The sequence below is a fragment of the Homo sapiens genome, chromosome 5 (genome assembly GCF_000001405.40).
Source record: "Homo sapiens chromosome 5, GRCh38.p14 Primary Assembly".
NCBI lineage: Eukaryota > Metazoa > Chordata > Mammalia > Primates > Hominidae > Homo > Homo sapiens.
Window position 1 is genome coordinate 71870563 of NC_000005.10, and position 24778 is coordinate 71895340.

Here is a 24778-nt window from a genome sequence, read left to right on the forward strand (position 1 = left end):
ACATCAGCCAAATTCCAAATTATTTTAAAGGAAAAAAATTAACATCAGTCTTACATAAATCTATCTAGGGAATAGAAAGAAGCAAAACTTTCCGACCAACTTCATGACATAAAAACTTGATGAGTTCTTTATAAAAAAGAAAAATTGCAGGTTAATCTCTCTCATATATATAAATGCAAAAATCCTAGGATTAAAAATTCTAATATTAAAAATTAATCCAATGATCTGTAAAAAGAACAATACACCATAACTATGTTCAATGCAATATTGATTTTGCATTCAAAAATCAATTGTTTTAATTCATATAATAACAAAAAAAGGAGACTTAGCAAAATAAAGGAGAAAAATTGTACAATCATCTCAATAGGCATAGAAAAATAATCTGATATAATTCGACACCTGTTACTACTACTACTACTAATAATAATAATAAACATAAACTTCTTAGAAAACTAAAATGGAAGAGAATATTTTTAATCAGACAAAAGTCGTGTATAGCAAATATCATGGTTAATGGTGAAACATTGAATGTTTTCCTTCAGGAACTAGAAATGAGACAAGTATTCCTACCTACTATTATTATTTTTATTCAACATGCCTAAAGATTCTAGGCAGTGCAGAAAGCAATAAAAAATTTTTATAAGGATAAATGGATTGGAACTATTATTATTACTGATGATACAATTGTGTGTACAGAAAACATAAATCTATAAATTATTGGCATTAATAAATAAATTTAACAATATAACTGGCTATCAGGTCAATATGTAAAAATAAATTGTGTCCTTTTATTCCAGGACCAAAGAATTAGAAAACTAATTTTTAAAATTATGTCATTTACAATAACATCAAAACATATCAAATAACTAGTAATCTAATAAAAGATGTGTAAGACCACCACAATGAAAACCTCAATAAATGGAGGGGTAGGCTATGTTTATGAACTAAACAATTCAATTTAATAAAGATATCCATTCTCTATAAATTAACCTGTAAGTTCAATGTAGTCCCATTTAAAATCCAAGCAGCTGTTCTGTGGGGAATTCACAAGCTCACTCTAAAATTTATGTGGAATTGCAAAGGGCAAGAATAACCAATACAATCTTGCAGATGAAGAAGAAAGTGGTTGGAGACTTACTTTAATAGAAACCAAGTCTTATCCTAGTTTTAGTAATTTAAAAAGCTGAGTGTTAGTGCAAGGATAACTCCCCAACACCAAAAAAAAAAAAAAAAAAAAAAAAGCAAACGGAATAGAATAGACTTTAGAAACAGACCTACATGTATATGAATATGATTTATGGCAAAGGTAGGGTTTTTGAGCAATAGGAAAAAGATGGTGTTTTGAATAAATGTTGCTGGGCCAATTAGATATACATTTGGAAAAAGAAATCTTGACCCCTACTTGATACTACAAAAAAATTCCAGGTAGATTATAGATTGAATGTGAAAAGTAAACCAATCTTCTGGAAGACTACATTAGAGAGTGTGTCTATGACTTTCAGTAAACAAGGATAAACAGAACACAAGATGCACTAACCACAAAATAAAGATTGATAAATTGGACTGCATTAACATTAGTATCTTCTGTTCATCAAAAGACACACAAGTTGGAAAGGCAGTCACAGAGTGGGAGATGTTTGCAGTACATACAGCAAAGAGCTCATTACCAAAATATAGAAAGACAGCCTCATATCAATAAGAAAAAGACAGGTAATTGAATAAAGACAGTGGAAACAAGACCTGAAAAAGAACTTTACAAATGACAATATTCAATATCTACTAAACACACAAAGAGCTAACGAAGTCATTTTAGCGGTCCGGGATGTTTAATTAAAACCACAATGAAATATCCCTACACATCTGCCAGAAAGACTAACATTAAAAAGACTGACAATACCAAGTGCAGTTGGGGATGTGAAACCACTGTCTCATATGCGCCTGGTGGGAATGCAAATTGACACCATTACTTTGGAACACACATATGCCTTGGGATCTAGCAACTCACTCCTGGATATATATCTAATAGAAATGCATATATACGTATACCAAAAGACATGCAAGAGAATGCTCATTGCTGCATTGTTTGTAATAGCTCAAAGCTGGAAACAACCCAAATGTCTTTCAACAGAAGAAAAGGCATACGTGTGTATCATGACATATGCAGGCAATTGAATACAGGGGTGAAAAATGAATCAAGTACAATGATGTGCTTCAACAGAAATAATTTCACAAACAAACATACTGTACAATTCCATTTAAATAAAGTTCAAAATCAGGCAAATCTAAATGATGATGTTAAAATAAACATGTATTGTCTCTCCTGTGTGAGGTACCATGGAATAAACTATGGTTCTAGAAATCAGAATAATGTTTACCTTTGGGGAGAAGAAAGGGACTCTAGGGAGGTTTCTGGGTTGCTGAGAGCATTCTATTCCTTGATCTGAACTGTGGCTACCAGTATGTCTTTACTTGAGTTAATTTATTGAGCTTATTAATTGTGTACTTTTCTGCAAGTAGCTCAAGCAGCAAACACTTGTTAAGCACCTAACATGTATATGTAAGATTGCATGGGCACTGTGGTCCCTCTTCTTTTCACCCCCTTGTTAACATCACCCTTGCTGGAGGGAGCTCATTATTACTAATTGGCCCAAGTGACAGCACAGCAAATGAGTGCAGCAAGGCTCTGCAAGTCTATGCTGAGAGTGGAAGTAGGGCCCAGTTGGGCTAAGGCCAGATGTTCTTTTACTTTGATTGGCAGAGTCCACTTTAGTACTTCCCAGTTCATGACAGCTTTTCTCTGCCACATTTAAATTTCTAAAGATAATTGTGGCCAGGAGGCCCCTGCTCCAAAGCTTGAGTGACTCTCCTTGATTCAGGTATGTGACTGCCATCTGGACATGGCAGTTGGTAGAGAGCTAGAGGAAGAGCTTGCTGAGATCCCAGCTTGCTCGAGGGGGTAGGAGGCAGGGTCAAGTCTGAACTTGTGCAGACCTGTGCTCTGGCTGCACAGTAACAACAATACTTATTTTCTCAACTATAAAGCTGTAAAAATGATCATACACCTGTGTGTATTTGAGTAGGAATTACGTGCATAATTCAATTGTTCATGACATCACGTGTGTGAGTTTTGCCTGTATCCAGATGGAAGTGTCTGTTATAAAGTAAAAGAAATAAAAACATGTTGATTTGTAGAGGTGGTGAAATTGTGAGCCAATTTTTCTTTTAACATTGTTCCAAAGTTTTTGTGTATGTAACCGGTAATAACAATAAACACAAACAAAAGAATGATTTTCATTGCATGCATACTCAGACAATAGAAAAAAGACCCTACTAAACCAGCATTTTATACAAATTATTATACATTTAGACATTTCTTTTTTTTTCTTTTTTTTTTTTTGAGACGGAGTCTTCTGCTGTTGCCCAGGAATGGAGTGCAGTGGCATGATCTCGGCTCACTGCAAGCTCCGCCTCCCGGGTTCATGCCATTCTCCTGGCTCAGCCTCCCGAGTAGCTGGGACTACAGGCACCCGCCACCACGCCCGGCTAATTTTTGTATTTTTAGTAGAGACGGGGTTTCACTGTGTTAGCCAGGATGGTCTCGATCTCCTGACCTCATGATCCGCTGGCCTCGGCCTCCCAAAGTGCTGGGATTACAGGCGTGAGCCATCGTGCCCGGCTGACATTTCTTAACTAATTTGAAAATTTAACCAGGGAACATGGTCAAATTTGAAAGTGCCATTTGTGTATTTTCAGTGTCAGTAACAGAAAAATAACCTTTCATTTATTAATGTGAAACTGAATTTAGATCAAATTTCAGAACTCAACATTCTGACAGTCCTAGATGTGAAAAGCTGGCATTCACTGCTGAAAATATTTCATCAAGTTTCTTTAACATATGGCCTCCAGCTATTGAGAAGATTTTTGTAGTTGCTATATCAAAGGTGGCTTCTGAGTTGACGAATGAATGTTTTAATCACAGTCTGGTCTAAACTTGGCCATTACACATATTAGAATGAATTTGGTTAGTTTTTTTTGTTCAGGAATATAGTTACATTGAAGAACTTCAATGCATTTATTTCTTTCTAAGAACTAATGTTTAACGAGCTTTACTATGGGCACTGCATACCAGAGTCTACAGGGCATTGCCAGCCGAGCAAATAGTGGCTTGGAATGAGGAACTCATTTTCTTACAAAAGTAGTACTATACACAGTGGTACATTTTTAGGATAGTCCAAAATAGGAAATTTAACTCAGTATGTAGAGCTGTACTGCTTCAAATCCTAGGCTGATTCCTTATATCTGGGAGCAGAAAGTCCTTAATGGAGGTAAGGAGGGTAAGTAGGGGCAGAGAAGAGAAAGGAGAAGAGCAGATGAGAAAGAGGAGAAAAGATAAAGGTGAAGACAGAGGAGGCAGAGGAGAGGGAAAAAAGAGAAAAATAACAAGGAAGTAAAGGAGGAAAAAAATGTTCCTCTTTTTCTTTTCTACTCAGGACTGTGCTCAGTGTCATTTCCCTGGCAGCCTCTCCTATTTCTGCCTCCTCCACTCTCTGATGCCTCTGTCACAGCTTCCCAGGCCCCCAAGAGCTCCCGGGCTACTCTAAGCTCCCCATGGAGGTGCCACATTCAGACTTTTTCACCCTCTGAAGATGTCTCATGCCCGTATGTTATCATCTTCCCTTTTTTTTGGTGAAAGGTCTTGAAGTCACTGTTGATCTGAATTAGGTGTAAAGAGCAAAGGTATATGATCAAACAATCTCTAAGATGTGAATGATGAATAATCTTGTATCTTTGAATGTTTGAATTTTTAAAAGAAAAACAGAGATTTTCTATTGGTAGAACTATGAGTACCACTAAAAAAAGTGAAGTGGGACATTCTGACCTTTTGAGATTAGTGGTTAAGATTTTTGGTCAAGGCAAAACCCTATAAACAAGCTGACTGGCTTGTGACACTGCTTAGAATCTGCTATGTTCACCTCCTGTAACTTGTTCTCCCTCTTCAATTTCTTCTCTATTTTCATTTTGGGATCCATAGACTCTCTAAAATCTTTGTGGCAGAAGTGGGCACCTGCATACATTTGTCTTCGTAAGTTGACCGTTGGTGAGTTAGTAGGGACCTGTATACGTGCTCTACATTATTGGCTCCAATTTACAGATGAGGAAATTGCGGCATACCATGGTCTGAAAGTATGTGTCCCCCCAATATTCATATGTTAAAACTTAATCCTCATTGTTTAGAAGTAGGGCCTTTGGGAGGAGGGCTCTGCCCTCATGAATGGAATTAATGTCCTCATATAAGAGGCATGAAGGAGCTTGTTTGCCCTTTCTGCCATGTGAAGACACAGCTACAAGGTGCCATTTATGGGGAAAGGGCCCTTATCAGACATCAAATCTCCTGGCACCTTGATCTTGGACTTCCCAGCCTCCAGAACTGTGAGCAATAAATTTCTATTGTTTATAGATTACCCAGTCTAAGGTATTTTTGTTATAGCAGCCCAAATGGACTAAGACAAGGCATTTAGCAACTAAAGCCATATCCTTTTTAGCCCAAGGAATACATGCATGTGATTTTTTTTTTTTTTTTTTTTTTTTGCGATGCAGTCTGGCTCTCTCGCCCAGGCTGGAGTGCAGTGGCGTGATCTCAACTCACTGCAACCTCTGCCTCCCAGATTTAAGCAACTCTCCTGCCTCAGCCTCCTGAATGGCTGGGATTACAGGTGCCTGCCCCACCACACCCAGCTAATTTTTGCATTTTTTTTTTCCAGTAGAGACAGGGTTTCACCATGTTGGCCAGACTTGTCTTGAACTCATGACCTCAAGTGATCCACCCACCTCGGCCTCCCAAAGTGCTGGGATTACAGGCGTGAGCCACCGTGCCCGGCCTGCATGTGATTTTTATAGTGTTGTAGGCCTGCACTGTCTGATATGGCAGCCATTTGCCACATGTGGCTATTAAGTACTTGAAATGGGGCTAGTATGACTGAAGAACTGAGCTTTTGATTTTATTTAATTTTACTCAATTTAAATTTAAAAACTGATAGGCAGTTTGGTTACTGAAAAATTTTAAGTATGTTTGAAATAATGCAGGTATGTGAATCAACTTTTTAAACTTTAAGTTTTATGAAATCTAAATATAGATCAAGTATTTCCAGTGAAAATTTAGTGTTTGCAGGCTGGACACCCTCTGCTCCAGCTGAAGACATCTCTGAAAGGCCATGTCAGTGTCAAGCTTCCTGCTGGGGTCCCTGAAGCCTTCACTGATTCTGCACCCCAGTCCATATTCTCCTTTGGCCCAATCCTGCATCGTTCCCTTTCCTTCCAAAAGTGCTGAGTCCAAGAGTTTTCTTTAATAAACCTCTGCCCCCTAATATTCATCTCAGAATATGTTTCCTGGAAAACTCAACTTGCTATAGTGTATTTATTTTTAAATAATATAATAAATACCTAGGGCCTCTGGGACCTTAAATATCTGGCATATCAAAGGTCCACATTACTGGGATATCATGGTCAGCGAGTAAGCAACTTAATGGGTGCCCACTGTGTGAATGACCCTTAACTAAGGGCTGTGAGTAGCCTTGAAGGAAGAATCGCTGGGGGACGGCTGAACTAGATGAACTCAAAAGTCTGTCTCTGAGCCTCTATAAATATATTTTTATCTATAAAATGGTAGCTTGTTCCCAGTGCTCAGGGACTGGACTTGAAACTGAAGAATGGTAGACATCATTTTTTAGGTGTCTGTGGCTGCGGGAAAAGGGAAACGTGTTTAGCAAGTACTGAAAACTGAACATAAGTCAAACAGGGCTCAATGCTCTGGCATCAGACAGATGTTCTGAAGGCACAGAAGCTTCACATGTGGTAGCCCTGAAGGACCTTGGGGAAGATAAATCCTCATACTGGGCAGAGATTTTAACAGAACATCTCACTGTCCATGTGCATGGAAAAAGGGTGTCCTGAGGAAAGAGTGTGCACTACTTTCTGGGCAGTACACAGTAGTTTGGCCCATGGATAGTGGCATGAAAGGAGCAAAACTGGAGGGCAGGAGAACAGGAAGTTTAAAGAGCTATGCATTGGCTTCTTAGAACGAACAAAGTGTGAGAATAGTTGTGTTCCACAAGGCTGCTCACCAAAGGCTCCTTGTTACAAAGGGGGATCTCAACAATCAGATAAACAGAAGCACTTCTCATTTGCAAAGGTTCTCAGTTCCCAATGTGGCAATACAACCCTGAATCTCCCATGTGGCACAGAGAGGGTGAGACAGGAACCATGTGGCAGGTTGGTTGTTTCTGATACTTTTTTGTTATTCTAGTTTTAATCATACATACTGATGGGGTACATAGTGATGTTTCAATACAAACAATATCGAGTGATCAGATTAGAGTAATTAGCATATCTATCATCTCAAACATTTATCATTTATTTGTGTTGGGAACATTCAAATCTTTTCTTTTAGCTGTTTGAAAATATATACTAAACTACCGTTAACTACAGCTGCCCTACAGTGTTATAGGACACTAGAACTTATTTTTTCTATCTAGCTGTGCATTTTATATTCTTTAACCAATATCTATCCTCCCAACCTCCTCACCTTCCCAGCCTCTAGTAACCCATATTCTACTCTGTACTTCAATGAGACTGACTGTTTTTAGCTTCCACATATGAGAACATGGGGTGTTTAACTTTGTTCCTGGCTTGTTTCACTTAACATAATGTCCTCCAGCTCCATCTATGTTGCCATGAATGACAGGATTTCATTCTTTTTTTATAACTGAATAGTACTTCATTTTGTATATACACCACATTTCCTTTATCTGTTCATCTGTTAATGCACACTTACATTGATTCCATATCTTGGCAATTGTGAATAGTGCTGCAATAAACATGGGGATATAGATATCCCTTTGATATACTGATTTCCTTTCCTTTGGATATATACCCAGTAGTGGGATTGCTGGAGCATATGGTAGTTCCATTTGTGTTTTTTGGAAGAACCTCCATACTGTTCTCCTTAATGGCTGTACTAGTTTACATTCCCACCAACAGCATGTAAGAGTTCCCTTTCTCCATGTCCTCACCAGCATTTGGAACTTTTTGTCTTTTTGTTAATAGCCATTCTCACTAGGGTGAGATGGTATCTCATTGTAGTATTGATTTACATTTCCCTGATGATTAGTGATGTTGAACATTTATATATGTATTTGTTGGATATTGTATGTCTTCAGAGAAATGTCTATTCAGTTCATTTGCCTGTTTTAAAAGTTGGGTTATTTGCTTCATTAGCTGTTGAGTTGTTTGAGTTTTTTATATATTCAGAATATTAATTTCTTCTTGGATGAACGGTTTGCAGATATTTTCTCCCATTCTGTAGTTTGACTTTTCATTCTATTGATTGTTTCCCTTGCTGTGCAGAATATGTTTTGTTTGATACAATCCCATTTGCCTATTTTTGCTGGATTCTTTCTATCATATGGAAGGCAGTAATTTGTCCTCACTAAAATAGATTTTAATTTTAAGTTTAGGTTTATTTTCCTATCTACAATATGCCTACTACAATTACCAGCTGAGGAACAGGAAAGTTCACTTGACCTGTGTTCAGTTGCAGAAATAAAGACCACAAGATTTACCCAAATTTCTTTTCTTGCTGCACTATACATATTAAAGAGCCATTTAAAATCATATATATATATGGTTTTATATCTGCTATAAATATATATATAATATATTTATTCCCTTCCTCTCTCTTTATCTCACTATGGTATGTAAACATATGCTATATATGTTTATACATATGCCAGGCACAGTGGCTCATGCCTGTAATCCCAGCACTTTGGGAGGCTGAGACGGGTGGATCATGAGGTCAGGAAATCGAGACCACCCTGGCTAACCCGGTGAAACCCCGTCTCTACTAAAAATACAAAAAAAATTAGCCAGGCTTGGTGGCGGGCCCCTGTAGCCCCAGCTATTCGGGAGGCTGAGGCAGGAGAATGGCTTGAACCGGGAGGCGGGGCTTGCAGTGAGCTGAGATCATGCCACTGCACTCCAGCCTGGGCGACAGAGCAAGACTCTGTCTCAAAAAACAAAACAAAACAAAACAAAACAAAAAAATGTTAGCAGTCACAGCTGGGTGTGGTGGCTCATGCCTGTAATTCCATTGCTTTGGGAGGCCGAGAAAGGTGGATTGCTTGAGGTCAGGAGTTCGAGACCAGCTTGGGCAACATGGCAAAACCCCGTCTCTACTAAAAATACAAAAAATTAGGCAGGTGTGGTGGCACATACTTGTAATTCCAGCTCTTTGGGAGGCTGAGGCATGAGAATTTCTTGAACCAGGAAGTCAGAAGTTGCAGTGATCTGAGATTGTGCCACTGCACTCCAGCCTGGCAGCCTGGCAGTGACAGAGTGAGATTCTATCTCAAAAACAAAACAAAACAAAACAAAATGAAAACTGAAACAACAACAAGAAGCACCCAAAATGTTAGCAGTCATAGTCTTACTTTCTAAATTTTTTTCTTTGTTTCTTATGGTCTGTTTTCTCCACTTATGTTTTGTGGATACAGCATCTTTTCATAACTCTCTGGAAGTCTAATTAGAGTTTTTTTCACTTTAATTCTTTTCTATTCTTTATTTTTCTTTCAAGGCCATTTAATTAATTTTTTTCTTGGTGTTTTCATTTCATGTTTTGGACTCAACAGTTTGGCGATCCTGGATATTTAAGAATGAGATGATAGGTTGCCAAAGAGCCCTGCGTTGGGGGTTGCGAGCCGGGGAGGGGCTGGTTACTGTGAGTGGGAAGGCAGCCACTCATTTTTCTGGAGGATCTTTAAAGGTCAGATTGAGAAGGATTTACTGTGGCAAACAGTAACCCCATGCTACAGGCCCTAGTCCTTCTCAGAAAGTCCATTCATGTTTCTTTCAGAGACAGAATTTCACTTTTTTTTTTAGGCTTTTTCCTGCCCTGTGCTGGGATCTAACTACCTGGCTACTAGCGTTTTTGTAAGCGGGGATGTTAGAGGGAAACATCAGGGGGATTGTTCTATACACAGTTTCAACTACTGACCCCGTCTCCACTCTCATGTCTCATGCCTGCCTTACATTGCCTTTACCTTCTCAGCAGCCTCTTCGGCTCAGCTCCTAGTTAATACTCCTCCATCTGCTTTGTGTCTTACAGAAGGATTTTGAAATCTTAAGTCTCCTGATGGGGCTGTCTTGGATTATTTGCAGAGACAGGAGATAAACCCAAGGGCTGAGCCTGTCGCTTTCAACTAGAAGCCCTAGGGCCTCTGGGTTTTAAATGGCTTTTTAATATGCTCAAAGTTTAGAGTCAGTGTGAACCATGACAATGTTCCTTAGACTAGTGTAATGTCCTGTGATTTATAGTAATGTTTCCAGTTGGTCCTCACAACCCTGGAGTCACAGGGGAGTCTGGAATGAATGGAGCTGGAGAAGACATCTGAAAGGCTTCAATGCATAGGAAACACTTGATCACAAGGGCAAAAAGACCCTCTACTATTTGTCAGAAAGTTAATGGAGAGATGGTCCAGGCTGGGATAAGGCTCAGCTTAGGGCTTGGAGGAGAAAACAGGTGAGAGGCTATAGGAACAGCAATGTCTGCTAAGCTGTTGCTCAGAGCCTGAGTTGGTAGTAGGGGGAGATGAGAGATCAGCTATGTGGGCGGCCAGTGGTGGGGCTTGAAGAGTCTGTAAGGTGATGTAAGCTATCAGTTCCAGAAGAAATTTGTGCAAAAGTCCTGCTGATGAGGGTAAGTTTGAAGCCAGAAAATAACATTGTCAGCAGCGTCACCGGCACATACAAAGGACAGTGATAGATTGCACAGCACCTCTCTCACATTTCTGGGCTAATGGAAGCCACAGCTTGCCCATTAGTTTCAACTTCCTTCCCCAAAGACTTTCCACTGGAACTTGTAAAATGTACATTTTACCTCTTTGTCCTTCCCTCCCCAGCCTGCTAGCAGAGATGAATAAGGCTGAAGAAGCAAGTCCCTGGAGAGAAAGGAAGAGATGAGAGAGACCCCCAAGTTGTGTGATCACCTCCAGCACACTGGAGACTGAGCCGTTTCACAAGGTGCCACTCAATCTAGTTTTTAGATGGGGCGTAGTTCGGGGGCAGACATTAGGCTCACTGTCTGAGAGGTTCCCTTAAAGCGGTGGTATCTGTGCTGTTTCTCCATTGCCTCTCCTCCAGTACAGGGAAATCACAGGGAAGGGCCCCAGACCTCAATGATCTACAGCTGTGCTGAGCAGGTCTTTCCCGTGGGCCTCTGAGGTGCTCCTTGTGAAGGCAGAAGTGGGTTTTGTCCTGCAGAGCAAAGGAATTCTATTCGCTCCATGAGGTTTACACACTTGCTTTTTTCTGTTTCTCTTCCACTCCTCCCTTGAGAAAATTAGCTAGAACAGGTGCCTTTTTCTCCTTGCTGACTCCTTGCAGCAACCAACACCATTCAAAATCTCTCAGAATGTGCTAAGCGTATTTGTAATACCCTTAACTGTGGCTGAACTTTAAGCTTTACCCGTGCCTGGTCTCTCTGTGTCTGAGTCTCAGTTTGTGTCTCTCCCTGTCCTTGTCTGTGTCTCTATTTGTGTCACCCTCTGTCTCTCTATTTCTCCGTTTCTGTCACTGTCTCTCTTTCTCTGTCTCTGCTTTTTTGTTTCTTCCTCTACCTCTCTCCCTGTCTCTGCCTGTCTCCCTCTCTGTCTCTGTCTCTCTCTTTCTCTGTTTCTGTCTCCCTCCCTCTCTCCCATACACCTGATCACTGGTGCCAGGGCTCTCGCCACCCTCTGCCTTTGGGAAAGCAGCCTGAGTCATATTCATCCTGTGCTCAGCAACTGGACATGATGCCTACTCCCCCAGAAAGCACAAAAAGCTTCCAAATCCACCTGGTCCCCTCAATAAAAATACCCCATCAGGCTGGGCGCGGTGGCTCATGCCTGTAATCCCAGCACTTTGGGAGGCCGAGGCGGGCAGATCACAAGGTCAGGAGATTGAGACCAACCTGGCGAACACTGTGAAACCCCGTCTCTACTAAAAAAACAAAAAAATTAGCCGGGCGTGGTGACGGGCACCTGTAGTCCCAGCTACTCGGGAGGCTGAGGCAGGAGAATGGCATGAACCCCGGGGGGCGGAGCTTGCAGTGAGTGGAGATCACACCACTGCCCTCCAGCCTGGGTGACAGAGTGAGACTCTGTCTCAAAAAAAAAAAAAACAACAACAAAAAAAACAAACCCAATCAATGCTTTCCCCTGGCCAGAGGGAGCTGTGTCTATGCAGAAGCCCCTTCCATTTTCTGGGCAAGCCCCTGAGCAGGCGAACCATCACTCATTTATAAAAATGAAGGATTCGTGAGCAACTCCTCTGGCTGCCAGCAGAGTTTATGCAGGTTCTGATCCACTTTAATTGAATTAAGCTGTGTTTATTTAATCAGCCCAGAGATATGTATCCTCAGGCAGGAATTTGATGACGGCTTCTAAATCGTGTTTTTGTCTGTGGGAGGAGAAGGGCTGTGATCTACTTGGTATTTTTGAAGGATTGGGGGCCCAAGGGACAGGCTGGCATCAAGGCTCAGACTGGACCCTGCAGGGACACTGCATTCAGCAGCTGTGCATGTGATTGTGTGTGCCTGTGTGAGTGTGAGTGTGTGTGTGTGCATGTGTGAATGTGTGTGCCTGTGTGAATGTGGACATATATGTGTGCAGGTGCAAGTATGTGTGTGTGCACATGTCCAGACACCCTGTGGTGAGTATGCATGGGCAGAGCTCTTTTTGCTCAGTGCCCCAGGACCTTGGGGCAGGACTGTCAGAGAAGCCAGACCTGCCAGTAGTCTGTGTTCTCAGCCACCACAGAAGAAAAGCATTAGAGAAATGAGGTCATACTGAGGCTTGAGGACAGTATTGTTCAAATTGTGCTCCATAAATCTCCATGGGTGCTGGTTAAGCACACTGATGCCCAGGCCCCACACCAAGGCTTGCTGAATCACACTATAAATAACCTCAGGAGTGTTTGCATTTTAAGGTTGGAGGCGGGGCAGGCAGAGGACAGTGACTGAGACTTACTTAGTGGGAATCATGATGCTGGTAGTGGGCATGGGTGTCTAAGCCTCACACCCGGGTCTGGGCAGTGCTCAGCGTGAGCTGCGCAGCCGAGTCATTTACGGGTGGGGCTGAGCCAGGGTCCAGGCAGGAAAGTGGTGCATTATCAGTTTATCAGTTTTCAGAGAGGCAGAGTAAGAGGGAAGGGGTTCCTTGTGGCCTGAGGAGCAAGGCCAGTGATCTTCAGCTGGGAAGGAAGCCAGCTAGGATCCCACGGGAGAAGCCCTGGAGAACAACCTCAAGCTGGTCCCAGAGTGGCCAGAGGTAGCAGAGTGAACAGACTGGCCAAGTAGTGTAATTCTGGGGCTAGTTCAAGGAGCACAGCTGGTCTGCTGTTATAGTCTGTGTGGGGCGAGGGAGGGATTGTGATCCTCAGGGTCTAACCAAGGCTAGACTGTGGCAAGCAGTAGGAGAGAACAGATGTTAGAGAGCCTTCAAAAGAATAATGGGATTTGGTGACATTTTAAAGAAAATGGGAATGAAAGGAAAGAGAAGAAACTTCCAAGTTCAGGAAAATATATATATATGTATTTGGGTCTAGCACTATGAGAATCAGTTTTGGAAAGCTGACGACATTTGGAAATACCTGGCCACCCTTTTCTGAGCTCTCTGATTCCTCTGCTTTTTCAGCTTTGTTCACCTCTCCTTAAGACAGCACATCCGTTAATACAATTAGAAAAACAGAGACTATCTTGTTTATGCTGTTGATTTCAGTTCTTATCTTTCAGTAGGAGAGAAGTTCTGTATGTCTCTAAACATCTCCTGGTCAACTTCACCTTGGTAGTTTTCCATAATCTGAAACTTAACATGATGCAAACCACATCACATCATCTTTCGTGTATTGTAGCTTGGGCAAGCTCTGTGGTAAGGTCTTCTTCAATGCCTGAGGTCCGTGAGCTGATGCGGGACATGAAGGGCTGGGAATGAACAGGAACCCAAGGGACAATTGCAGCCAATTTTTAGGGTCCAGGGAAGGAGCCTTGAAAAGGGGTGACAGACCTAGGCCTCTTCTTATCACAGAAGATTATGTTCAATGTAAGTGATGATGCAAATAACCAATAATACTGTGGTGTGTGTGTGTGTTTGTGCGTGTGTATGTGTTAGAAACAAACAAGAAAATCTTTTCCAGAATTAATCACGCTGAAAAAATAAGTGAGCCCCCATTTTCAACTAGCATCAGTTGACAATTGTGGCAGACAGCCTCCAAAATGATCTGCAGAATCCTGGCCTCCCGGTATTGATACACCTGTAGAGTTCCCTCCCACACTGAACAGGGCTGAGGATATTGAAGAAATGGTGGTGTGTGACTTCTGAGCCTAGGTCATAAAAGACACTGTGGCTTCTGCCTTGCTCTCTTAGATCATTCATTCTAGGAGAGACCTTGGGAGGAGAAGTCATGAGGACAGTCAACCAGCTCTTTGAAGAAGTCCACATGCTGAGAAACTGAGGCCTCCTGCCAACAGCCTTGTGAGTGAATCATCTTGGAGGTGGATCCTCCAGCACCTGTAAAACCTTCAGATGACCACAGATCTGGCTGACATTTTGACCTCAATGTTATGAAAAATCTTGAGGCAGAAGCACCCAGCTAAGCCAATCCTGTATTCTTCACCTACAGAAACTATGAGGTACTAACACATGCTTATTGTTTCAAACTGCCAAGTTTTAGAGTAATTTCTTATGCAACAATAGATAACTAATAAAACAATGTTAACAATAACCTGATGTACACCCATGAAATATGATATCCAGACAAAATTAGAAAGTGTTTATGTATGCACTGCATTGTTATGTTTCTTTATAGAACAAAAAGAATCCTATGTTTTTCGGATCCTTTTCTCAAGTCAGTGCCAGTGATGCAGGGCCCATGAGCCCGGAAATTGGGGCTCAGCCTGGGAGGGTTCTTGGCTCCACCCGGGAAAGTATTCAAGGGTGGACCAGTGGTGCCAGATAGCAACTTTTATTGAAGAGGCCGTGTATGGCAGCAGCAGAGGCACTGGTCCTTGTGGAGCAGAGATACTCCATAGGCAGTGTGCCCAGAGTAGCAGCTCAGAGGCAGTTCTTCAGTCATATTTATACCCACTTTTAATTACATGCAAATTAAGAGGTGAGTTATTCAGAAATTTCTAGAAAAGGGGTGGTAACTTCCAGGTCATTGACATGGAAAGTGGGGGGTAACTTCTGCATATTGCCATGGCAGTGGTAAACTGACATGGCACTGGTGGGCATGTCTTATGGAAAGGTGCTTTTGCCTCTTCTTTCCTATTTCAGCTAGTCTTCAATCTGGTCTGGAGTTCAAGCCCTGCCTCTGGAGTCATGTCCCACCTCCTACTTCACCAGTACCTGCCCTCTCCTCCTGATTAGTGTAAGGTTAGCTCATTTTAGAGTCTATACCACTGGGAGGGCAGAGGAAATGTGCCAGATTCACCATTTATTGTTTTGTAATATGAGGTAGCTAAATGCTTTCACTCTACAATGAAAACTCCTTAGATTAGTCAATTAGGATTCATCCATGAACCAAGAAGGTGAGTCTATTTTTTTTTTGCCTTCTTTTGCAGAATAACTCTGACATTAATGGAGAAGAGGAACAGAAAGTGTGCTAGGACCTGTTAGCACACTTTCTGCTAGCATATCATATCTGTTTTTTATAAAAAACACATTGTCTTACACTTAACATTTTCATTTATATTAGTTCTATAATTCCTCCCCAAAAGATTATGAAGGAGGTATAATTAGCTCCATTTTTTGGATGAAGAAACTGAATAGAACTTGAGCACAGCCTAATTTAATGCTTTTTCCTCTAATCTACACTGTCCAAAATGATAGTCACTAGGCACATGTGGCTAGTAAGCATGTGAACTTATAGCACACTTAAGCACTTGAACTTACATGTAGCTCATAAGCACTTGAATTTACATGTGGCTAGTAAGCACTGGAAATGTACTGAATTGACATGTGCTATAAATAGTATAAAATCCACATAGGATTTCAAAGATAGTATGAGAAAAATAATGTCAAATATTTTCTTAAATTTTACACTGATTACACATCGAAATGATATTTTGAACGTGTTCATATTGTTAAAATTGATTCCATCTGTTTCTTTTTACTTAAATTTTTTAAAATTGTAAATTATTATTATGAGTACATGACAGTTCTTTTTACTTTTAAATGTGATATGGTTACTATAAAACGTGAAATTATACGTATGGCTTGCATTTGTGTCCCAGGTTATAGTTCTACTGGACAGAAATGCTCTAAACTAAGGCTGATATTTTCAGACTCACAACCTCAAGTTACCCCAAGACAGCCCTCATATCATCTCAGGGTCGCTAGGAGGGGAGAAAAAAATATAACAGATTGTATAATTGATAACCCCCTGTTTTTTATGTTTTGATATTTCATCACGAAAGGGAAGAAACTGAGCACCCTGGTGATACTGGGGCAGAAGGATCAGATGCTATCCAATATCCCGGTGACTTTCTTTGAAGTATAATTTTATGTCAAAAGGCCTTTCCAAACTTATTCAGGTGTACAAAGCACTAAGGAAAAGTTCAGACCCCTGAGCCAGAAAACTTCATTTTCCACATTAAGATCAAAGGAGTATGCGGGAGAGATGTGGCATTCCCAGTACTGGGGGTTCTGTTATAACAGGGTCAGAGAGAGGGCCAGAAAGGGAGGAGAAAAGCAAAAGACTGCCCAGAAAGTCAGCCAGTGAAAGCAAGTGACTCATGTATACTTTCATGTACTCATTAATGTAGCAAATATCCACTTATTGTCTGTTATTCATTGCCTAATGTGTCCTCATTATCTATAGGCACTGCTCCAAATTCTAGGGATACAGTGGTGACCAAGGATCAAGGTTTCTGCCCTCTAAGAATTTGTTTTGTAAAGACAATAGAGAATAATATACAATGAATAAGTAAATATGATAACTTCAGATTCTACTAGTTAGATTATAGGTTGGCTGCTATAACACAGAGACCCAAATAGCAATGGCTTAAGCAAGAGAGAACTTCATTTCTTTCTCATGTATAATAACAATCTGCGAGTGAGCAGTCTAGGGTGGGATTAGCACTCCTATAGTGTTAGAGACCCAGGTTCCTTCTGTCTTGCTGACCTGCCAGTACTGTATCTGTGGTTATCTACAAGGTTCGAGATGGATCACCATCTCAGGCAAGCAGGAAGGGAAAGAGAAAGTGAAGGCCTCTCCTCTTCCTTTTAAGGATGTGACCTAGAAGTTGCACACATTGTTTAATTCACATCCCATTGGCCAGTACTTAGTCATATGACCATCCTAGAAGCAAGGTAGTCTGGGAAATGTAGTCTTCATACTGAATGACTTGTAGTCAGCTTAAAAAATGTTTTACATTTTTTTCTTAAAATGTTTTTTTTTTTAATTTAAAGAAAAACAATGTTTTTCTTTAAATGAAGGAAGAAGAGAACAGATGTTGAGGGGCAACTAATAGTATCAGCACAATGGTGAGTTGCACAACTGCTACATTCGCAATATCAATAGTAGGACTGCATTACTGGAAAGACCAGGCTCTGACAATCCTTGGATAAATCACACAGGATTGACTTATGTAAGGATAGAGAAGAAAATCAGCACTGTCAGGACTCATGGCAGAGAGATCAGCATCATCTTCTAGACATAAAAAGGTGAACACAAAATCCTTTCCAAGGGAAAATCCAGTTGAAGATGAAAATCTGTGAAAGCATAGAGGTCACATTAAATTATCAGGAAGCCTAACTCATCCCCTCTGGACCCAGGACCTATCCTGTAGAGACAAAATATGAATGAAAGAGAGTTGGAGTAGGGGTTGTCAGGTGACTTATTAGCAAGTATGTACAAGGATGGTGTCTCTAGGGAACTAATACTTGAACAGAGACCTGAAGGGTTAGACAGAGTTCCTTATAGAAAACTTTCCAGCAATAGGGAACAGCAGATGAAAAGACCTTGTAACTAAGGTTGACCTTCGCAGGTACTAGAAACCAAGTTTTCCCAAGTAGCTGGAGTGTCATAAGTGAGGCAGAGAGTGGAAATGAGAGGAGGGGAAAAAAGGAGAAGATGAGAAAAGGAAGGCAGCTCTCACGTTTAGCACTGGAGGGACATCTTTATCAGATAAAATGGCAGAATCTGCCTCCTTCAGGTATTCCCTAATGTTTGCCTCTGGCAACTTTCCATACAAATTTCCCCAAACCAGTGCTGAGAAAAGAACCTAGCGTCAGTTTTCCCTGAGCTCAGAGTCCTGTCCTTTCCTTTCGCTCATTTTCCTTGTCTGTTTACCCAGGATGCGAATCCCTGCCCCACCCTGCTCTTCTCCCAGGGTTGTCGTGAGATCAGATGAAAGAGGAGGTGTGAGGGTGGCTGTCATGTGAAGTGCTGAGTTCTGGGGCAGAGAGGTACGGCACCTGGCACCCAGTGGGACTCAGTGCTGTTATTTCTATTATGATGGTTGCAGTCAGTTGGTTTCCTCAATTTCCAGACCTTCAGTACAGATCTCAATTATGATTTTGAAATGCTTTTCTTTTTCCATCATACTAATTAACGATGGTTTGTTTTGCCTTGTCAAAGCAGGTGCTTGGATATTTTTAGAAGATTCCCCTTTGTCAGAGATCCCATGGCTTGGTGTGGAGTGGTGTGAGTTGTGCCCAGTGGAACATTTAGGTTATTGGTTGGTTGAAAACTCTGCTCTCTGCATCCTTGTAGAATGTACATGTAGATATGACTTTAAATAAAAGTCAGCATTTTCTGAATTTCTTTTTGTGCCAACCCAGACATACCCCTTTTAAAAATATTGGCTGGTTATTAAACTCTATTTGTTTTGTTTCTCCATCTGTGCCATGTGCTTTCCACAGATAGCTTGTAGAACTTTGCTTAGCACAGGGGCTTTGGAACCATTTTGCATGGTTCCACTTTCACTCTGGGAAGATGGGGAGTTGAGGAAGGAGTTTGGACAGAAGACTTATTTAACTCCAGTTTCATCTTGGTTTCAATTATCTACATACTCATTCATATCCACCCATCCATCATGCTTTCCCATTCATTCTTCCACTGAGCATCTTCTATATACCAAGTTTCACAGCAGTATGAGGGTTTGCAAGCACAGAGATGAAAAAGAGAGTTTATGCCCATGAGGACCTTGAAGTCCAATAATGTGGTCTTATAGAGCAGAGTGTTAGATGCTATGAGAAAGGAATGCACGAGAAGGATGAGAGCCCAGAGGACAGCCCCTCTTCTAGGACTGAAGGTCGAGGGAAGTCTTCCTACAGGAGATGAGACTGAACTGAATCCTGAAGGATAAAGGCGGTCAGAGAAGGCTTTACAAGTAGAAGAAACAGCAAGTACAGAGATATATTGGGGTGGAGAGTTTGGCATGGTATGGGAACTGCAACCTGTTTTAGTACAGTCAGAGCATAGCATGCAGGATGGAGGTGGAGGGTGAAAAAAAATGATGCCAGAAAGGTGGGCAGGGGTAGGATCGTCAAAAGTCCTAGGAGCCATGGTAATGAGTTTGAACCAAGGGGAAATCCTCTAAGATAATTTAGAGCAGGAGAGTGATGAACAGATTTGTAGTTTTTGAAAGCTTCTTCCAGCTTCAGGGTGGAGGCTGGACTGAAGGAGGTCAGACTCACTGAGGGAAATGGGATCAGTCGGTGGCTGTCGCAGTGATGGTAGGACACAATGACGAAGCCCCAGCATTAGGTAGTGGTCGTGAAAGAGAGAAGGAGACAGTTCAAGACATGCCTGAGGAGTGGAATGGACAAGGCTTGTTGCTAGATGGAATGTGGAGGTGAGGGAGAAGGAGGAGGCTTCAGTGTCTGAGTGACAAGGATGTCACTAATTCTTGCATGTAACGTAGGAAAGAGGACAGCCTTGTGGGAGGGTGCCTTGAGTTCAGGCTCACCATCTAAATGTTGGGTGAGATAGAGATTTGAGAGAGCTGAGTGGGAGTGTGGTTGCCCAGGGAGAAAGTAGAGAGTTGAGGAGAGCTGGGCGCGGTGGCTCATGCCTGTAATCCCAGCACTTTGGGAGGCCAAGGCGGGTGGATCACCTGAGGTCAGGAGTTCAAGACCAGCCTGACCAACATGGTGAAATCCCGTCTCTACTAAAAATACAAAAAATTAGCCGGGAGTGGTAGTGCGTGCCTGTAATCCCAGCTACTTGGGAAGCTGAGGCAGGAGAATCTCTTGAACCTGGGAGGCGGAGGTTGCAGTGAGCCGAGATCATGCCATTGCACTCCAGCTTGGGCAACAAGAGCGAAACTCCATCTCAAAAGGAAAAAAAGAAACCAAGAGTTGAGGAGAGGAGAAAGCCGGCACCAAAACCCCAGGGAAACTGTATTTATTGAGAAGCAATGGAAGAGTAATTAAAAAGGAACCAAGGAGGAACAGCCAGAGATGTAGGAGTCCTGGCAGCCTGGGCAGCAGAATTCCCAGGAGTCACATGTTGTGAAAGGATGAGGAAGATGAGTGTGGAAAGGCACCCATTGGATTTAATGACAAAGAAGTTTCTGGCTGTCTTGTAGAAAGCATCTCTGGTGGGGTGAGGAGTGAATGGCATGTGAGGAAGCTGGTGTGGAGGGTGCAGGCGAGCCTACACCCATGGCTGTGAAGAGGGAGAGGTGGCTAGAGAGGAAGATGAGAAGGGCAGGTGACTGGTCTGGGGCTCACAGTGAGTTAATATATTAAATTAATTCATCCACCTAATTAGGTGCCTGTTATGCAGCATGTTGTGCTAGGCACCAGGTAGAAAGAAACTTAAGACATGCATTCCAATGTGTAAAATTCAGTGAGTAAAGCCCCAAAAATGCAGGATCAAGAGACCCACTTTCCTATATTTGCTAAAAAATAATGTGGTATAGTAAAAATGACACAGATTTTGGGTAAAAATAGATCTAGGTTCAAATCTTGACTTTCTTTTTGGCTATGTGATCTTGGGCAAATTATTTAATCTCTCTAAGCCTCAGTTTTCACATCTGTAAAATGGGAATAATAATATCCCCCATATAGATTTCTTGAGAAGATCTGAGATAAGGTCTATTAACTCTGTAAGGGTAAGGGATTTGTCTAAATTACTCAGTATCGTATCCCCAGTACCAAGCATAGCATAATGCCTGGCCCATAGCAGGGATTTAGTAGATATTTGCAGAATGAATGGATGACAGAAGGTATGTGAAGAACCTGGCATAGAGGAGGTGCTCTGTAAAGGGTAGCCATTCTTCCTCACTGCTCTGGGACCTGTGAGGATCTGTCACTGGATGCGTGAGGATGAGATAATGAATTACCAGGCAAAATGCTAAAGCCTCTGGTTGGCAATGAGACGTAGGGTGGATATCCTGTTCTGAATACTTGGCTCATGATGGGCGTGAATGGATAAGGGAAGCAGCTCGTGCCTGGCCAGAGGCAGGCCATCAACAGTCCTGTGCAGTACAGGGAGGCTGAGGGGAAGGAATGTTAGGCATGTGCTGACTTACATGTGACCTCAAGTGAGAGGGACAGGCTGTTCCAGTCATCTCATCTAGGTGAGCAGCTTCTAGCTCTCAGGCCTGTGACTCTCAGTGGCCTGGGTCAGCTCAAAGGTTCCTGCCTGTCCACAGGTGCTGGCCTTTTCTGGCTACTCTTCCCTGTTCACAATTTAGATGCTCAAGGCAGCAGAAAAGATAACAGCCAAAAGTGGAGGCAATTTACCTCTTTGTTAATTCCTGCCTGAATGAAAACAAAAAAATTGTTGTGTGTGTTTTCTCCCTGGAAATGTCATACCTCCTCAATATTTAAAAAAGTCCTAGGACAGCAAAAAGAAAAAAAATCACCAAATTGGTGTGGTTTCAGGGTCATGTTTTTCTTTTTTTCTACCTGGTTTTTAATATACTCTCTGCCTAGTTTCTTTTCTTTTTGGACTTGAGGAAGGCCAGAGCTGCTTTTCCTGGAAGAATGATGCTCCGTGACTGGCAAAACCAGTGAGAGAGACACTTCGGCACATTAAGAAGCCAGAGGCTCATTAGTGTCTATTTACTACCTTGTAGAATGCTCTCGAAGAAGAACCTGAGACTGTCATCTCCTGGAATGGGGCTCCCCAGAGCTTCCTCACTCAGGATGTGCATAATGAATGTAGCAGCCTGGGCAGGGGGAGGGCGTCACATGCTGGGCCTGTGGTCCCAGGGGCAGCCTCATCTTTCCCTGGCTCCTTCAAAAGCAAGGCATTATGGGCAGGGAGGGATGATTTATGATCTCCTCTCTTTGGGCTCAGCGTGGATGCTGTGGGAGGAAGGAGGCTGCTCTGCCCAGGGGCAGGAGCAGAGCACCCACACACCATGCAGAGGATCACTGGACACATCTCACATAGTCAGGGTTGGAGAAGAACTCATGATCACCTGATCAGCCTCTCAAGTCTACAGAGGCAGAAAATGAGGCACAGGGAGAAAATGGGGCTGGATGAAGGCCCACTCTTAGCCCATGCCAGAGCAGAGGAACATCCATTCATGCCTAATCCAATGCACTGTGCTGATTCACCTCTCTCAGTGGTGAATTTTCCCATCTGGAAAACTAGGCTGATATTGTAGATCCTAGCTTACAAAAACATTCTCAACTGGAATGTGAAAGAATACACAATTGGGAGTCAGAAGACATTGGTTTGGGTCCTAACCCTGTGGGATCTTGGGCAAGGCACTTTGCCTATTTGAGTCTCAGTTTACCTTCTGTAACATGAGGTGAATTATCAACAATAATAGCTAATATTCTTGAACCCTCACTGTGGGCCAGGCAATGTGCTAAGTGTTAGGGTTATTTCAATTATTCTTCTTAATAACCTTAAGAGGGAGGTACTATTATTCCTATTTTAAAGATGAGGAAACTGAGGTTGAGTTTAATTAGCTTGAGTAAGGTCTCAAAGCTAGGTGATAGTATTTATCGCACAAGGTTTATGTAAGAGTTGCATAAGCTGCTTATGAATGTGTTTTTCGATTATGAAATACACATGCAAACAATTTTCCATGTAAAAGTATTTTGAATTTTTTTGAGAAAAAGTCCTGAATGCCAAGTCATCACTGTTTGATCTTATTTGCCAAATGTTCTTTGAATTGCTGCTGAGTGTGAAGAACCATGTCAAGTGCTGGAGAGGAGGGCATGCTGCAACCCCCACTCTCATGGAGGTTACAGGTCAGCAGCTAACGCAGCCATCCAGGTAAAAATGACAAGTGGGATGTGAACCCAGGAGTGGGAATGGATGGTGGGTAAGGGAATGAGCTTTGTCTGGAACAGTGGTTTCTAACCCTGGCCAATCCCAGAGATTCTGATTTACCAGGGAAGGGAAGGAGCCCAGACATCATTGTTTTTTAAAGCCCTCTGGGATTGGAATGGGCCACCACAATTCAGACCTGCTGATCCAGATGATGAAGACATCTCCCTGAGGAAGTAACATTTAAGCTAGGGGCTGCTGGAGTTTGAAGATGGTTCATTCTAACTGCAGCTGACAGCTTTGCCAGGTAGATGTTTCTCTCTTCTGACAGGGAGGGCTGGAGACCACAGTCAGGAGGGACCCCCAGGTGAGCTGCACTTCCTGAGAGAAACTCAGCCAGACGGCAAGGCTGCCCACCCCACCCTCCACATTCACTGCCCCACATCGGTGGAGAGAAGTGGTTTCCTCTGGAGCTGATAGCTCCACCTGTCGCCTCTGTGCAGCCAGCTGCTACTGAGTAGGGGCTGGGTGAGGAGTAGATCCAGGATTCTTGGAGGTGTGACTTTGAAGACTGGTTTCTCCCTTCACCCATCAGGCTGCCAATGGGGGCTGCTCCCCAGACAGGCTGCATCCATGGTGCCCCTTCATGTCACACAGCCAGGCCTGGGAGATGCAACGTCAAAAAACACATTCAGAGACAGTGCATACAATTCTTACAAAGACTCTATCAGCTAGCAGTGAGACCTCGGGCCAGTTGATTAAACTCTGAGCCTCAGTTTCTTCACCTATAAAATGAGGATAATAGTGGTAGTGTTTTATGAAAACAACCATAAAGTTGTTTTTATGAAAGAGTAGCCAGGACAGAGGAAGCCCCTTTGATGCTGGCACATGGGGTGAAGGCTCATGCCCCCCTCAAGTCAGCTCTGCCAGGTCAGCTGTATCATGCATTCAGTAAATGAAGTCACACCTAGGCCAGGTGAAAGGATGTACCCTTAGCACGTTAGCCAAGAGGCCTTGCTAGTTCTGAGCCCCCAAATGAGGAACACCAGTGTTGGTTGGAGGCAGTCCTGCTCTAGGGAGGGGGCTGCTCTTGGAGCAGAAATGGAGACGGACTGCTTGCCCCAGTGTCAAACAAGAAGATGGAGTTGAACATGACCACCCATTCTCCCCACATTTACCAAGCAGAGAAGCTTCCATCTCCACACGTGCAGTGGAAGTACAAGGTGAAGAGAATCTAGAATCTCCCCTACTGAGGAGGTTTCCTCTATCCAGACACACAGCACGAGTGGGGAAGAAGCATTGCAACCTCTACCCCCACCCTGCCACCATCTTGCACATGAAACCCTGGAGTTTTAGAACTGAAGGTACTTTAAAGATCATCTAGACCAACCCACTCATTTACAGAAGAGGAAATAGACTCAGAGAGGGAGAATGACTTGATGAAGGGGAAGAGCTGAGACTCAAACAGGGTCTCCTGGCTCCTGGACCTGTGTCTGTTTCATGTCTG

The 24778-nt window shown here is 42.4% G+C and overlaps 1 long non-coding RNA gene across 1 annotated transcript, besides 2 other annotated features; it reads left to right on the forward strand.

Annotated features, from left to right (window-relative positions):
• Positions 7206-7295: a silencer, noted in NCBI's record as "silent region_16078". NCBI's record gives its function as "represses an Ori minimal core promoter by ATAC-STARR-seq in GM12878 lymphoblastoid cells {active_cell/tissue: GM12878}" and the evidence as "EXISTENCE:reporter gene assay evidence [ECO:0000049][PMID:35858748]".
• On the forward strand, positions 10953-16022 carry LOC105379027 (uncharacterized). The gene is made up of 3 exons (XR_001742514.2): positions 10953-11073; positions 14454-14719; positions 15363-16022. It is a non-coding gene; the product is annotated as an uncharacterized LOC105379027 (long non-coding RNA).
• Positions 17032-17291: an enhancer, noted in NCBI's record as "active region_22642". NCBI's record gives its function as "activates an Ori minimal core promoter by ATAC-STARR-seq in GM12878 lymphoblastoid cells {active_cell/tissue: GM12878}" and the evidence as "EXISTENCE:reporter gene assay evidence [ECO:0000049][PMID:35858748]".